Source organism: Homo sapiens, chromosome 15, assembly GCF_000001405.40.
Source record: "Homo sapiens chromosome 15, GRCh38.p14 Primary Assembly".
Classification (NCBI taxonomy): domain Eukaryota; kingdom Metazoa; phylum Chordata; class Mammalia; order Primates; family Hominidae; genus Homo; species Homo sapiens.
In genome coordinates, this window is record NC_000015.10 from 58,845,491 (window position 1) to 58,862,132 (window position 16,642).

Consider the following 16,642-nt stretch of genomic DNA (forward strand, 5'->3'; position numbering starts at 1 on the left):
ATGAGATATCATCTCACCCCAGTTAAAATGTCTTTTTTCCAAAAGACAGACAATAACAAATGTTGGTGAGGATATGGAGAAAAGGGAACCCTTATACACTGTTGATGGGAATATAAATGAGTACAACCACTATGGAGAACAGTTTAGAGGTTCCTCAAGACACTAAAAGTAGAGCTGTTATACAATCCGGCAATCCCACTCCTAAGAATATACTCAAAAGAAAGGAAATCAGTATATCAAAGAGATATCTGCACTCCCAGGTTTATTGCAGCACTATTCGCAATAGCCAAGATGTGGAATCAAGCTGTGTCCATTGACAGACAAGTGGATAAAGAAAATGTGGTACACATACACAACGGAGCACTATTCACACACAAAACAGAATGACATCCTGTCAAATGCAACAACATGGATGGAACTGGAGGTCATAATGTTAAGTGAGATAAGCCAGGCACAGAAAGACACACTTCGCATGTTCTTTCTTATTTTTGCGGGCTAGAAATTAAAACAATTGAGCTCCTGGAGATAGAGAGTAGAATGATGGTTACCAGAGGCTGGGATGCATATTTGGAGGCAGGCAGGATGGATGGTTAATGGATGTTAAAAAAAAAAAAAAAGAAAAAACAGAATGATTGAGACCTAGCATTTGCTAACACAAGAGTGTGAGTATAGTCAAAAATAATTTAATTGTACATTTTAAAATAACTAAAAGTATAATTGGATTGTTTGTAACACAAACAGTAAATGTTTGAGAGGCTGGATACCACATTTACCCTCATGTGATTATTATGCATTGCATGCCTGTATCAAAATACCATGTAGGCCAGGCGCGGTGGCTCACGCCTGTAATCCCAGCACTTTGGGAGGCTGAGGCGGGTGGATCACGAGGTCAGGAGATCGAGACCATCCTGGCTAACACGGTGAAACTCTGTCTCTACTAAAAATACAAAAAATTAGCTGGGCATGATGGCACACGCCTGTAGTCCCAGCTACTCAGGAGGCTGAGGCAGGAGAATCGCTTGAACCCAGGAGGCGGAGGTTGCAGTGAGCTGAGGTGGCACCACTGCACTCCAGCCTGAGCCTGGATGACAAAGTGAGACTCCTCAAAAAAAAAAAAAAAAAAAATCTCATGTAACCCACAAATACATACACGTACTATGTATCCACAAAAATTAAAAATTAAAAAAAAATTTGTATGCACGTACAGAGTTTATGTGATAAGGCAGGAAAATACAATCAATACTGGGCAATTTGGTGCTACGAAACACGTACAAAACAATTGTGTTGTATCTATTATTGGTATACAAAAGAAGTACACTGATAATACAAACTAGGTACAAAGTATTATTGGTGTATAAAAGAAGAGCAACTAATGGTGTAGAGAAAGGAAAAACTGGTGTGGATTGGACTAGTCATGTAGGCTTAATTGGAAAAAAAAACAGGCAACATGGTATCATTTTTTGTGACTGTAATGTATTTTTCAGGAATTTGTATGGTATTTTTCTATTTTGTGAAATGAGATTATAAACCCCCCCAAAGGTGTTTATAAGTCATACATTAGCTGAACATGCCAAGAGCTCTTATTTCTTGTTATAGTGTAGTGTGCCAATTATAAACTATATTCAAAGCCGAGTGGATTTGAGGAAGTAAAATATCTACTTGGTCTATTTATTGTGTTGTACAGATCTAAACAGTAGGAATGTTTAATATATTCTGAAGATACAGATTGTAAAACTTTCCTTAAATATTATATTACTAGTTTTGATCAATTTAACAGTCCTTTTTCTTTTGTTACTTCTTATTAAGGGTCAACTGTATTTGTTGGTAACGGACCAGGGGTTTCTTACTGAAGAGAAAGTTGTTTGGGAAAGCCTACACAACGTAGATGGTGATGGAAATTTCTGTGACTCAGAATTTCATCTTCGACCTCCTTCAGATCCTGAAACTGTATACAAAGGACAACAAGATCAGATAGATCAGGTAAATTTGTATTGTCGTCTTTATAGTGGTTAAAATGCTGATTTTTTTCAAATGTGAATTCATGTATCCAAAATTTTTCAACTAAAGATTAATTCATCAATATGCTTGTGAAATTTTCCTGACACTTCCTGAATAGTTGGTGATCATTCTACATGTACATTAATTATGTACTTTGGTGCAGAAGGCCAGATCATATTGAACTGTGAAGGTCATGGTGAGAAGTTTGAATTTTATTCTAATTGCAGTAGGAAAGCTATGTCAAGTATTAAACACAGAAGTGATGGGATCTTCTTTACCTTTTTAAAAGACTGTTATTTGGAGAATACATAAGAAGGAAACAGGTCTAAGCAGAGACAAATAGTCCAAGCAAGAGCTGATGATGGCTTAGCCTTGGGTGGTAGAGATGAAGAGATGAGCACATATCTGAGCTATATTTTGACTAGTTAGAAAAAGTAGAGGAGAGAGAATCTGGAAGGTAGCATATAGTGTATAAAGAATGGGTGGATATTCTAAACCTTAGAGGCCAAGGTAAGGAGGAGTAGTAGACATTTGTAGCAGGAGACACACTAGGGAATAGAAGTTGCATTTAGAAATGAGACAGATGAGATTTTTTTTTTTTTTTTGACAGATGAGATTTTTGCCTGCCATAAGTGGGCAGTCTTGGAGCCACAGGTCTGTTTATTATTAGAAATATGATGGTGATGTGAATTCTTCCCTGACTGAGGCAAAAATATGGTCATGTTAAACAGTTGACATATATTTCACTCATAACAATTTAAGTGCACAAAGACTGTTCAGTTAGCCAATATTCACTGAGGAGTTGTATTCCTGGCACTATAATTAGGTCCTAGAGATACAAAGATAAATCATTGAGTCCTGTCCTTAAAGATGCAGCCTAGTAGGGAAGGCAGATATTTGACCAACTCATGTTATATGTTCTATAATGGCAATTTGAAGAGCAGTTATCAAGTACACAAAAGAATATTTAATTCTCCGGGTGCGGTGGCTCACACCTGTAATCCCAGCACTTTGGGAGGCCGAGGCGGGTAGATCACAAGGTCAGGAGATCGAGACCATCCTGGCTAACACGGTGAAACCCCGTCTCTACTAAAAATATAAAAATCAATTATCCGGGCATGGTGGCGGGCGCCTGTAGTCGCAGCTACTCAGGAGGCTGAGGCAGGAGAATGGCATGAACCAAGGAGGCAGAGCTTGCAGCGAGCCGAGATCGTGCCACTGCACTCCAGCCTGGGCAACAGAGCGAGACTCCATCTCAAAACAAAAAAAAGAATATTTAATTCAAACAAATATGCATCTTTCTAGGACTTTTCTTTGAAAAACAGTTCTGAAAGTCGTGCTCATTTTCCTTCAGAAGCTATACAGGGGTGTTGTTTTTTAAACGTTAAGAGAAATATGCGAGATTTTTCTAAGCATTATATTCTATATAAAAAATACTGGGCCAGGCAAGGTGGCTCACACCTATAATCCCAGCACTTTGAGAGGCTGAGGCAGGTGGATCACCTGAGGTCAGGAGTTCAAGACCAGCCTGGCCAACATGGCGAAACCCTGTCTCTACTAAACATACAAAGATTAGCCAGGTGTGGTGGTGCGCACCTGTAACCCCAACTACTCGGGAGGCTGAGGTGAGAGAATCACTTGAACCCAGGGGGCGGAAGTTGCAGTGAGCCAAGATCATGCCATTGCACTCCAACATGGGTGACAGAGCAAGAGTCTGTCTCAAAAAAAAAAAGGCTGGGCACGGTGGCTCACACCTATAGTCGCAGCACTTTGGGAGGCCAAGGCGGGCCGATCACGAGGTCGGGAGATCAAGACCATCCTGGCTAACATGGTGAAACCCCGTCTTTAATTAGAAAAATGCAAAAAATTAGCCGGGCATGGTGGCACGCACCTGTAGTCTCAGCTACTCGGGAGACTGAGGCAGGAGAACTGCTTGAACCCAGGAGGCAGAGGTTGCAGTGAGCCAAGATGACGCCACTGCACTCCAGCCTGGACGACAGAGCAAGACTCCGTCTCAAAAAAGAAAAAAACTGGAGAAGGGGAATGAAGGCAGAGTGATAGATTGTCACAGTAGTCCAGATAAGGTGTTGAGATTGTTATCTGGAAGCAGCAAGAAAGAGGTGGATTCAAGACCATGAGGCTTCATAAAGAGCAGAGTTTGAAGAATTCAGAAGAACTTGAAGGACAAATTCTTTATATCTTTATATCCATGAGATAGTCATGCTATATATATGACAAGATCTTTCCAGGCAACAACCTTTTTTATTTTTTGAGACAGGGTCTCACTCTGTCACCAAGGCTAGAGTACAGTGGTGCGATCTCGGCTCACTGCAACCTCCACCTCCCAGGCTCAAGCAAACACCTCAGCCTCCTGAGTAGCTGGGACTACAGGCATGTGCCACCACACCCGGCTAATTTTTGTATTTTTAGTGGAGGCAGGGTTTCGCCATGTTACCCACACTGGTCTCGAACTCCTGGGCTCAAGTGATGTGCCCGCCTTGGCCCCCTAAAGTGCTGGGATTACAGGCGTGAGCCACTGCACCTGACCACAGGCAAAAACCATTTACCCATCCTCTGTATTATTTAAAATTATCTTATTTTGAGGGTAGATGGGGGAGGAGGTACACAGACTGGTCAAATTTTAGTCAACACCGACTCTTAATAAAGTGGATATTAAGTTAATGCTTGACCAAAATGCACTGTTTCTGATAGAAACTAATCTGAGTGTGTACATGGGAGGAGGGAGGAGATGGTTAAATAATTGAGTAAGACTATATGATGGCTACTGTGTTGGCTTTAAAAGTCATCTTTTAGAAGAATATTTAATAATCTTGGGAAATTCTTATTTTCTTAAACAGAAGACTTTTATGACACTAAGTGGAAAAGAAAACATTACAGTAGTTTCACAGGGTTGGTTTGAATTTGTATGGGAATGTAGAAAAATAATAATAAACTACTGTTAACAGTAGTTATCTCTATGTAATGATATTATGGTGATTTAAACTTTGTTGTTTATGGTTTTCAGTTTTGTCTGAATTGCCTATAGGCATGTTTCTTTTGTAAATGGGGAACTTTTTAAAAAATTCTTTAAACCAATTTACTTATTTATTTATATATGAAACAGGGTCTCAGTCACCTAGGCTACAGTGCAATGGTGTGATCACAGCTCACTGCAGCCTCAACTTTCTGGCCTCAAGTGATCCTCCCACCTCAGCCTCCCCTAGTAGCTGGGACCATGGGCATGCATCACCATGCCCAGCTAATTTTTTTGTGTTTTTTGCAGAAACAGAGTTTTGCCATGTTGCTCAGGCTGGTCTCAAACTCCTGGGCTCAAGCAGCCTGCCTGCCTCAGCCTCCCAAAGTTCAGGGAATATAGGTGTGTGCCGTTGTACCTGGCTCCCCGCTACTTTTTGTTTGGTTTTGTTTTTAGCTTTCTTGGCTGCCTATATATGGCTTCCAGAAAAAATTTCAAATACATTCCCCCAATTTTTTGTTTTTTTTTCACGACTGAGTCTTCCTCTGTCGCCCAGGCTGGAGCGCAGTGGCGTGATCTCAGCTCACTGCAACCTCTGCCTCCCAGGTTCAAGTGATTTTCCTGCCTTAGCTTCCCAAGTAGTTAGAATTACAGGTGTGCACCACCACACCTGGCTAATTTTTGTGTTTTTAATAGAGACGGGGTTGTACCATGTTGGCCAGGGTGGTCTCGAACTCCTGGGCTCAAGCGATCCACCTGCCTTGGCCTCCCAAAGTGCTGGGATTATAGGCGTGAGCCACCGCACCTGGCCTCCAAAAATATTTAGAACAATGACAGAATCACTGAAATAAGTTCATAGCTCCCCAAGGGAAATACTTAGGAAGATAACTGTCATTTTAATGTTTAAAATAAAATGTTTTTTATTTTATTTTAATTATTTTGTTATTTTATATTGTTTTCTTTTTCTTTTTTGTTTTTATTTTATTCATATTTATAGACAGGGTCTCTCTCTGTCACCCATGCTGGGGTGCAGTGAGGAGATCATAACTCACTGTAACCTCAAACTCCTGGGCTGAAGCAATCCTCCTGCCTCAGCCTCCCAAGTAGCTAGGACTATAGGTGCACACCACCACACCTGGCTGGTTTTTAAACTTTTTTTGTAGAGACAGGGTCTTGCTATATTGCCCAGGCCTGGTGTATTTTTTAATAGCCATTCTTACAGCTTTATAGATATAACGTTTGTATTTGCAGTCATTCATTCTTGGGTAAAATCTCATAGCTAATGATGGTTATAATTTAATTTATTAGGATTATCTTATGGCATTATCTCTACAACAAGAACAGCAGAGCCAAGAGATCAATTGGGAACAAATCCCGGAAGGAATCAGTGATTTGGAACTAGCAAAGAAACTCCAAGAGGAAGAGGACAGACGGGCTTCTCAATACTATCAGGAACAGGAACAAGCAGCAGCTGCTGCTGCTGCTGCTTCTACACAGGCTCAGGTAAAAACTAGTGTTTTGAGTCTTAAATGTGATGATCATGGCTGGGTGTAGTGGCTCACACCTGTATTCCCAGCCCTTTGGGAGGCTGAGGCAGGCAGATTGCTTGAGCCCAGGAGTTCGAGACCAGCCTGGCCAACATGGCAAAACCCTATCTCTATTAAAAATACAAAATTAGCCGGGCGTGGTGGTGGTGAACACTTGTAATCCCAGCTACTGGGAGGCTGAGGCAGGAGAATTGCTTGAACCTGGGAGGCAGAGGTTGCAGCGAGCTGAGATTGTGCCACTACACTCCAGTCAGGATGATAGAGCAAGACTCCTTCTCAAAAAAAAAAAAAAAAAAGATGATCACTTTAGCAGTAAATTTCGCTTGAGATAAAAAATTTTAAATTAGGTGTTAACTCTTCAATTTTGTTAGGATTTTAGCACCTATGGGTTTTATGACGTTGTCCTAAGCTTGTATCTCGTTTAGTAAAATGTTTTCTCCTGAGGTTCTGATTTTCAAATTTATTTTTAAAATTCGTAATAGCTGCAAAGAAAATAAGCCAATTTGGACGAAGTCCTTTCAATCAACTAGAGGGCAGTATGAGGTACTACTAGAAAAAATAGACTTTGGAGCCAGATAAATGTGGATTTGCATTTCCTGCTCCTGTCTCTCCTTCTAGTTGCAACCTCTTGGATGACGTCCTCTACCTCTCTTAGCCTCATTTTCCCTATCTGTAAAATAGAAGAACTCTTAAGTTTGTTGTGAAGAACAAATAATATTAGCACTTACCCCAATTTTTAACATGTACTAGGCATTCAACAAAGGTTGACATCTCCCTACTTTTCACTTTCTGTAGTTAAACGGTTTAAAGCACTGAAAATTTAATGGTGGGATTCTACATGTTAAATCTCATTTCATTAAGTTAAAAATATTCCCCTTTTTTATGTTTATACCATGCCAGACTGCTGTTCCTGTTTTTTTTTTTTTTTTTTTTTTTTTTTTTTTTTTTTTTTTTTTTTTTTAAGACAGAGTCTCACTCTGTTGCCCAGGCTGGAGTGCAGTGGCGCAGTCTCGCTCATTGCCAACCTCTGCTTCCTGGGTTCAAGCAATTCTCCTGCCTCAGCCTCCCAAGTAGCTGGGATTACAGGTGTGTGCCACCATGCCCAACTAATTTTTGTATTTTTAGTAGAGATGAGGTTTTACCATATTGGCCAGGCTGGTGTCAAACTCCTGACCTCAAGTGATTCACCCACCTCGGCCTCCCAAAGTGCTGGGATTACAGGTGTGAGGCACCACGCCTGGCCTAAACTGTTCATTTTGATTCAGATACATAAGAAATTCTGATTTGGGCATACAAGAAAGCAAGATGCCCTTTTAAGTCTCATAAAACTAAATATAGAAGTCCCCATTAAAATAAGTATAAAATTTCTATTTCTAGCTCAAATATTGACTACTCCAAGCTTAATAGTTAAATCCTACCATGTTATGTGTAGGTTTTCACTCAAAAAAGGTGTCTTATTTCACTAAATACACTTATTCCAAACTCCCAATTCTCAGGGGTTCTTTTCTCCTTTTAAAATCTGTTTATTATGGCTGGTGCGGTGGCTCACACGTATAATCCCAGCACTTTGGGAGGCCAAGACAGGTGGATCTCGAGGCCAGGAGTTCGAGACCAGCCTGGCCAATATGATGAAACCCTGTCACTACTAAAAATATAAAAAATTAGCTGGGTGTGGTGGCGTGCACCTGTAGTCCCAGCTACTCGGGAGACTTGAGGCAGGAGAATCGCTTGAACCTGGGAGGCAGAGGTTGCAGTGAACCGAGATTGTGCCACTGCACTCCAGCCTAACAGAGTGAGACTCCATCTCAATAAAAAAAAAAAAAAAAAAAAAAAGTCTGTTTATTATGGAATTTAATGAGGTTTTGAAGAACTATTATAGTTTATCAAAAGGTGTCACTTTCCTTAACATTTTCTAAACTTTTAACAAATGTGTCTTCAATTTGACTTTAGGCAATATAATCTTACGTTATTTACTGTTTGAAATACCGACTTTGGGAGGCCAAGGTGGGCGGATCACAAAGTCAGGAGTGTGAGACCAGCCTGGCCAACATAGTGAAACCCCGTCTCTACTAAAAATACAAAAAGTTAGCCAGGCGTGGTGGCAGGTGCCTGTAATCCTAGCTACTTGGGAGGCTGAGGCAGCAGAATCTCTTGAACCCAGGAAGTGGAGGTTGCAGTGAGACAAGATTGCACCATTGCACTCCAGCCTGGGCGACGGTGCAAGACTCTGTCTCAAAAAAAAAAAAAGGAAAAGAAATTTTATTTATTCAGAATAATGAATACATTAATTATATCCAGAATGGTAGCGGTAATGGCTCAGATACCATGTAATATAACAAATCTGTATGCCAATAGCTAGCTTCTTTTTCCATCAGTGATTCCTTCCACTGTTACAGTTTTCCTTTCTAGATAACCATGAGTAAGTCCCTCAGAATAGTTAGAGTAATTTCTTGCTGTATATTTTTCTTAAAGCAGGGCCAGCCAGCACAAGCCTCTCCATCAAGTGGAAGACAATCTGGGAATAGTGAACGTAAACGGAAGGAACCACGAGAAAAAGATAAAGAAAAAGAAAAGGAAAAAAATAGCTGTGTTATTTTGTAACAAGTGTTGGCTTCTGTTGGAACCACCTATATGTCTTGAGAAACAAAACCACAGGAGGAAAGGAAGAAAAACCGATCAATACCGTCTGTGCCTGATTTCCTAATGGATTTTGTTCGTTTTTTCAGGGGAACGGTTGTTACTTAGTTACAATCAGACTTTTTCAAGTCACACAATACACTCTTTATGAGCTGGAGTTTCATGTTACAAGTTGGAAATGCTGTGTGTTGACATTCATGAAAAATACTGCACTTGTAGCCAGATTAGCAAATCACAGCAAATTTTGTGTCATAGTGACATTCATAACTCATATCAGTTAGTAAGCTATTATATCTTCTGTTCTAACAATGAATGGAGGTAATTGATTTAGTCTGATTCCTTCCTGAAATCTAAATATTAGCACAATAGTTTCTGAAATTTTACAATGTTAAATTATGATCTAATTCATGAGAAACCACGGGTTTAACATAGGGATTCAAAAAAACAAAAACAAAAGAATAGGAATAAATAACCCTTAATTGTATATTGGACTAGTTCAGCCCTTAAACAGCTTTACCTTTATTTAGGAATGTACATTTTAGGTATTATCTTGATCATGGAGCTTAGTTTTAATTTAGATAGCAAAAATAAAGATTTGTATTTCTTTTCCAATAGCAAAAAGTTACATAACACTAATACTTATAACCTATCAATATCAGATATTAATGACTTTGTAGTGTTGTAAAATTTTGAGGAATTTTGGAGTCTTTATCATAGGTAACCTGGACCACAGTTACTATTTATTGACAATGTGATTGAGTGTATGGAGGAAAGCACAGTGGATGCTAGGCTTTGTAAATATGGGGATGTAGAAAAGCAGATAGTTCAGTGTCTACCTTTTTCTAGAACTACCTTGAACCTTAAATTTTAAGTCATGTTCATTGCTAGAAAATTAAATGTACTTATTAAAACCAATGAAAAAGCACATTTCTGAAATGAAGTTAGAGATAATCTCTGTGTCTTATAAAAAGACATTAATAAAAATCTGAAAGGGCCGGGCGCAGTGGCTCACGCCTGTAATCCCAACATTTTGGGAGGCCAAGGTGGGCGGATCATCTGAGGCCAGGAGTTCGAGACCAGCCTGGCCAGCATGGTGAAACCCTGTCTCTACTAAAAATACAAAAAATCAGCCTGGCATGGTGGTGCGTGCCTGTAGTCCCAGCTACTCAGGGCTGAGGCAGGAGAATTGCTTGAACCCGGCAGGCAGAGGTTGCAGTGAGCCGAGATCGCCCTGCTGCACTCCAGCCTGGGTGACAGAGGGAGACTCCGTCTCAAAAAAAAAAAAGTCTGAGAGTAGCTAAGAATTTATGTAAAAGCAATCAGAGTTTTTAATTTATGGGAACCAAATAAAACTATAACCTCATAGTGTTTATAAGAACTCAGAAATAATATTTATTTAACTTTATTATGAGGCCACACATATTTTCCTGTGTTTCTATATATAGTTTGGAAAACTATCCTTAATAGTCTGTTTTATATGCCTTATATTTAAAAGTTTGTTTTAGTTATTTTGAAAGACTATTGCTGCTGCAAATAGTTGTGTGCTTTACATTCTAAGCTTCAGTACATTTATTTAAGAGCATCATAATCTGACCTGAGCATCCACTTGGAGAGTGTTTTTTTTGTGTGTGGTCTGGGGTGACAAAAGACCACAAAAATGTGTGGTCTGGATTTTTTCAACTATGTCATTAACTTTATGATCCAAGACCAGTTATAGGATGAATCTGTATGTAAAAATAGAGTCTTATTTATGGAAGGAATTATTCTAAGGGAAAAATCCAGGGTCAAGCTGTATCTTTTATGTCCTTTATATTGCATGTCTATTTCTGTTACACAATTTGTTATTTCTTCAAATTTCCTATGGTAGCATGATAAATCATCAAAGAACCTGTTTGGGATATAAAACTCTGATAGAAAATATTTAATGAGTATCTTGATTATAACCTAGAATATGTATACGTTAGTAAAATAACCAGATATACTACAGAACTCTCTATTGGCTCAAACAGGTTGACCTCAATCCAAGTTTACTCTTGATATCACTCTGTTGGCTGAAGGAGGTAACTCAAACCTCAGGGTTTGTTTTTCCCGGGACAGATAGTAGTGATAGTGCATTATATTTGAATAAGAAAAACAAACCAGTATACCTTGAGAAATTTTAAAAAGCATAGTTGAGGCATATTTTTTCATAATTATATACTTATCTGTTTATTGCCCATGGAAAATATATGTGTAGAAGTATTTCTTCTGTTATTTGTTACTATCTTCTTAATTTGTTCCAAAGAAAATGCTGCCATACTGCATTCCCTCTGGAAGGAAACAAAACAAAACAAAACTCACTCAAAACCAGCAGTGCTGCTATCAGATAAGTAGATGTCAATGTATACTTACAAGGAAAAACTAAAAAATGTAATGTGTTAATTCAGCCTTTTTCTATGTAATATTTCCAAGTCAGACTTTCTTACATTCCTGGAATTTACTTTGATATACCAAGAATAATAATGATAAAATGTTTGCTTTGATTACTGTGGGGGGAAAGATGAAATGTTCAATTGTATTAAAACAAACAAGCTTTTCAGAGATACTGGTTTCCTGCCCTTGAAGGGTATAAAGAATTTAGATCATGCCTGTAATCCCAGTACTTTGGGAGGCCGAGGCAGGTGGATCACCTGAGATCAGGAGTTCGAGACCAGCCTGGCCAACATGGCAAAACCCTGTCTCTACTAAAAATACAATAATTAGCCAGGCATGGTGGCGGGCACCTGTCATCCCAGCTACTTGGGAGGCTGAGGCAGGAGAATCGCTTGAACCCAGGAGGCAGTGATTGCAGTGAGCTGAGATAGCACCACTGCATGCAAGCCTGGGCAATAGAGCGAGACTCCGTCTCAAAAAAAAAAAAAAAAAAAAAATTAGAGCTATTGTGTCTTTATTTTCTTAAATTTTGCCCAAGGTAACGTTATATATCCCACCACTTCATTGCTGGTTTGGGTACATAGGATTTTGAAAGTGGTATATTAAAGTCTTTCCTTCCAAGTATTTTGTAATACTTGAAAATTCTTAGATGTATACTGCTAACAAAAGTTAGAACTTAAACATTTTTGTTTTTATCATTTATAGCCTAGATTAGGGACATATTTGCATCAACCAAATCATCATTAGATTTGAAAATAGGCAGATGAATGAACAAATATGGTCATTGCACTTTCCTTTTACTTTCAGAGTCTAAGTATATTCCTTAAGGTTAGTAACCAGTCTTTATTAAAAATATAAAATTTTTCTTCATGTCTAATCCCATTGCATCCACAATGCTGTGATTTATAGTACATGATCAACACTTAAAAGTACTTTACATATGTGTGTTTCTGAAGCAAGTTTTCATGACCTCTGTTAGATTCTCAAAAGAATTCAGAACTTCAATTTAAGAATCACCATTTTAAGAATACATGTGTACATATACACATTAAGCAGTATAAAGCAGCTAAAATTGGCATTGGTTTTACACTGGTGCAGTGTGCTTAGGTAAAGTAACTTCTTCCATGTTTCAAGGTCAGGTTCAGAGTTGAATGAAGTGTAGATTTAAATTTAGGATTAGGCTTTGGAATATATCTTGTTTTTATTGTCTCACATTTCTGATATTGACTACTTATCCCATATTCTGTTTCAAATTCTTTATCATATTTCAAGTTCTTTCTCATACTTCTTGATCTTGGCTTAACTAAGCAAGTTAGTATCAGAGACTAGTTGACTGAACCCAAGATTAAACATTTTGCACTTGCACAAAACCTTCTTAGCATTTTGCTTTCAATGAATCAGAAAGTCAATTCACTAAGAGACAGATCATGAGAGGAAAGAGAACTAGAGGCCAATAAATAAAATAATTGTTCATATATTAATGTTCACATGTGAACTACATATCTAAAATCTTGGAGAAAAATCAAGGCAAGAATTTCCAGAACTGTCCTCAAATAGCTCATTTATTTAAGTTTTGTTAAAAAGCAAAAGCGAATTGATTACATTTGATTAACTTTTCCTATTCCATGCACAAGTTACCTTAAAACATGATAAAAACCTTATGGGCATTACCTATCACACAGTACTTATGCATAAACTTATAATAGTAAAATTACTAATGTTTGATAAAATAAGATGGAGGCATTACAAATAGTCTACAGTTTGTATTTTAAGGAATTGGACATGAAGAATTCTAGATCATTTTGTGTCTATAAACCCGACTTTCTATCTTGCCTTGGGCAAACTTTCTGTGCCTCAATGTACTCTTTAAATATGTGAAGGATGCTCTTTTTGATTAAGTGTTTTGCACTCCTGAATAAAGGGCATAGTATAAGCACAAAGTATGACTTAATTTATCACAAATATTACACATCCTATGTTCTTGAATGTGCACACTTTTTTCTCAATAACAAAATATATCTTAAGTCAGTTTTTTTAATGCTGTCAAAATTTGTAGAATTTTCTTTGAGTATGGCGTGATCTCTTCCCAAATGCATTTTACAGTTTTTTGTGTGTTCTATAGACTATAGAGTCAAAATCAAGAGTATTTTGAGAGGATCAGAAGCATTTAAAAATCTATTTTTTTCTAGTATCTTTCACAGATCTAAATATTTAGATTCTCTTTGCCTTTTTCTCCATGGAATACGGTGGTATCAAATTACTAATACAGTATATAAACTTCGTTTGCATTGGTGGAATTCATTTAGATCTCTCAAGTAATATTATTTTAGGGCTATATAAATTGTGTTTTTAGTGTAAAATGTTATTTGATAATGTGAAGTTAAATCCCTTTTAGAAAGTGACTGAAAATGGTAAAGGAACTCATCAGAATCTTAGCGTTCTTAAGTTCTCTGATAATTTAGTATATTTTATTAATGATGTCCAACACCTCTAAGATTGTTGAGAAAACATGAAGAATTGAGGTTACTCTTCTCAGGTGACACTTTAAATATTAAAATCAGAGGCTTCCTGAACAAAACAAATTGCAAAATAGCGATAATGGCATGGGAGAGGCCAGATGCAGGACTCTGGTAAATTTAACTTACTTTGAATATCTATCTAAATTTTAGTTCATGCATGTTCTTACTTAATCCTGGTGTTTTTGCTCTTAGATGTTAGAGTTTAATAAATTGTGATACGCATATATTTTTTTACATGAAGGATTCTACTTTCTAATTTTACTTTTCTGATCTCAAGAAAATTAAACTTGAAAAACGGGGTAAAATTCTTCAACTATTGCCTCAAGTTCAGTTTTGTCCTATTGTCCTGAGAAAGGAGATTTAGACTTGTCTGCCTAACACAGGTATTTTTTAGGGCATCGTACTATCCCAGAGAAAGTGTTGAGATACCATGGCAGAAATATAAAACCTAAGCTTTGAACCCCAGTAGACTTCTTCTTCTGCCATTAAGTCTCTCTTTATCTGATATTCTAAGGATTTCTTCAAACTACTTAATAATTTGTCACCATTAACTTTAATATCCAGTTTTAATCTGCACTGTAATATCCTGCTTTGAGAAGAAAGAATGCCTCATAAATTAGAGAAGGACAAAACAAAATGTTTTGGAAGGTGATCCTGGCTCCTTTGGCTCTCATAATTGTTTTATAGCTGAAAATAAAAAGTCAGGAAACTGGCCCGGTGCGGTGGCTCATGCCTGTAATCCCAGCACTTTGGGAGGCTGAGGTGGGTGGATCACCTGAAGTCAGGAGTTCGAGACCAGCCTGGCCAACATGGTGAAACCCTGTCTCTACTAAAAATACAAAAAAAATTAGCTGGGTGTGGTGGCACATGCCTGTAATCCCAGCCACTGGGGAGGTTGAGGCGCAAGAATCGCTTGAACCCGGAAGGCAGAGGTTGCAGTGAGCCAAGATTGCCCCACTGCACTCCAGCCTGGGCGACTGAGCGAGACTCTTATATCTCAAAAAAAAAAAAAAAAAAAAGTCAAGAAACTGAAATTCCCATTTAAGTTCTCAAATCAGTGATCTGTCAAAATAGGCCTTGTAACTGAAATACCTTACAAAGCAGTTCTAACTAATGCAATGTGTTTTTTAAAAATTTTTAATGAACCTTACATTGTGAACATAATTGCAACATGTTTTAAGACAAACAGTATTTAATCCTTGAAGACCTGTCTTGTATGTCTCTCAATTTTGTCAGAATTTTTATTATTGTTTTTCACATATGTGAAATAAGCAGTTTTTTCAGGGTACATAGGGTATCTTTGTTTTACAGATTTTTAAAGATGAGGTTTTGAAAAGCCCTCAGAGGTTTTTGTTAAAAGACTATCTTGCTTAATAAATGACAGCTTGTTACAGATTCACACATTACAAGTAGGACAGTATAACAGGAGATTGGTGTGTGAATGCTACAAAACAGTCAGCAAAAGGAATCATGTTTGCTTGTGAAACTTCAGAGGTACCCTGAAAGTCATTTCCTAAAGCTAGTGCGTGTGAATCTTTTCCTTGAATTGTGCAGAATAATTGGATTGAGGCACATATTTTGAGGAGTAGCAAGTGGAATGGTATAATGACTACAGAGAAAATTATCTTGAAATATAGCAAGGAAGAGAAACAAGTTTTCTTTCTCCACTTTATTGTTGGACTAATTGGGTCAATTTGCTGTGACATATCAAAGATCTCTTTGTGCCAGGCCAAGACTGGCTACTGAGTTCTCAAAGCGTTTTAATATATAGATTACGTATGAGTGCCTATTTTTTCCTCCTCCTTTCATTTTTTATCTTAATACCCATTTTACTTCTGAAATAATTCATCTGTTTTGCTTTATGACCAGCTTTAATTTCAATTGAGGAATAATAACAACCCTAGAGATTCATAGGAAAGAGCATTGAAATACATTTTTTGCATAAAGATACCTAAAACCATCTACCCAGCTTAGGGTTGAACTGAATTTCTGTGAAATAAATTTGTTTTAAATACTAATTATTTTAAAACTACTTAATTCTTAAAAACAATGTCATCAGTTTCAAAACTTTCACTTTGGGAGGATATTCCTTAAAAGGCATACATAGATGGTAAAGTATAAAATATTTCTGACAGAATTATTCAGTATTATTCAACATTTACTTTCATGTTTGTTATTGTACCACAAAGATAGTGTCATTGTTGGGTTAAAATGTTGGCTGTTTTTGTTAATATACTTAAAACTGTAACCAGTGAATAACACCTGTAGTATTTTTTATTATAGATTATATTTTATTTCAATAAACTTTGATATTTAGACCAAAGTCTGTTCGCTCTGTATATTCATGTCATTAAGCTACAAAGTTAAGAAAGATGAGCGGGGAGATGGGGAACTGACATATTGATTCACATTTACCTATAACTCTTAGAATATTAGGGCCAACTTTTGATAAAGAGAAAATTTCCCCACTCCCAGGAAGTAAACAGTTAACTCTAAACCATGTTAAAAAATTAGCTGGGTGTGGTAGCATGTGCCTGAAGTCCCAGCTACTCAGG

The 16,642-nt window shown here is 37.5% G+C and overlaps 1 protein-coding gene across 12 annotated transcripts in view; it reads left to right on the forward strand.

The window, feature by feature from the left end:
- MINDY2 (MINDY lysine 48 deubiquitinase 2) overlaps positions 1-16,410 on the forward strand; it is a 90,599-nt gene extending 74,189 nt beyond the window's left edge. For 6 of the 12 annotated variants that reach the window (XM_011521687.3, XM_017022332.3, XM_011521689.3 and 3 more), the window contains 3 exons: positions 1,807-1,980; positions 6,281-6,475; positions 8,992-16,410. In XM_011521687.3, the coding sequence (XP_011519989.1) occupies positions 1,807-1,980; positions 6,281-6,475; positions 8,992-9,120 (498 nt within the window). In that variant the 3' untranslated portion in view covers positions 9,121-16,410. The remainder of the gene's footprint in view (positions 1-1,806; positions 1,981-6,280; positions 6,476-8,991) is intronic. The other 6 variants (XM_011521688.3, XM_047432700.1, XM_047432699.1 and 3 more) reach the window with 1 other exon arrangement.
- Positions 16,411-16,642: the final 232 nt, after the last annotated feature.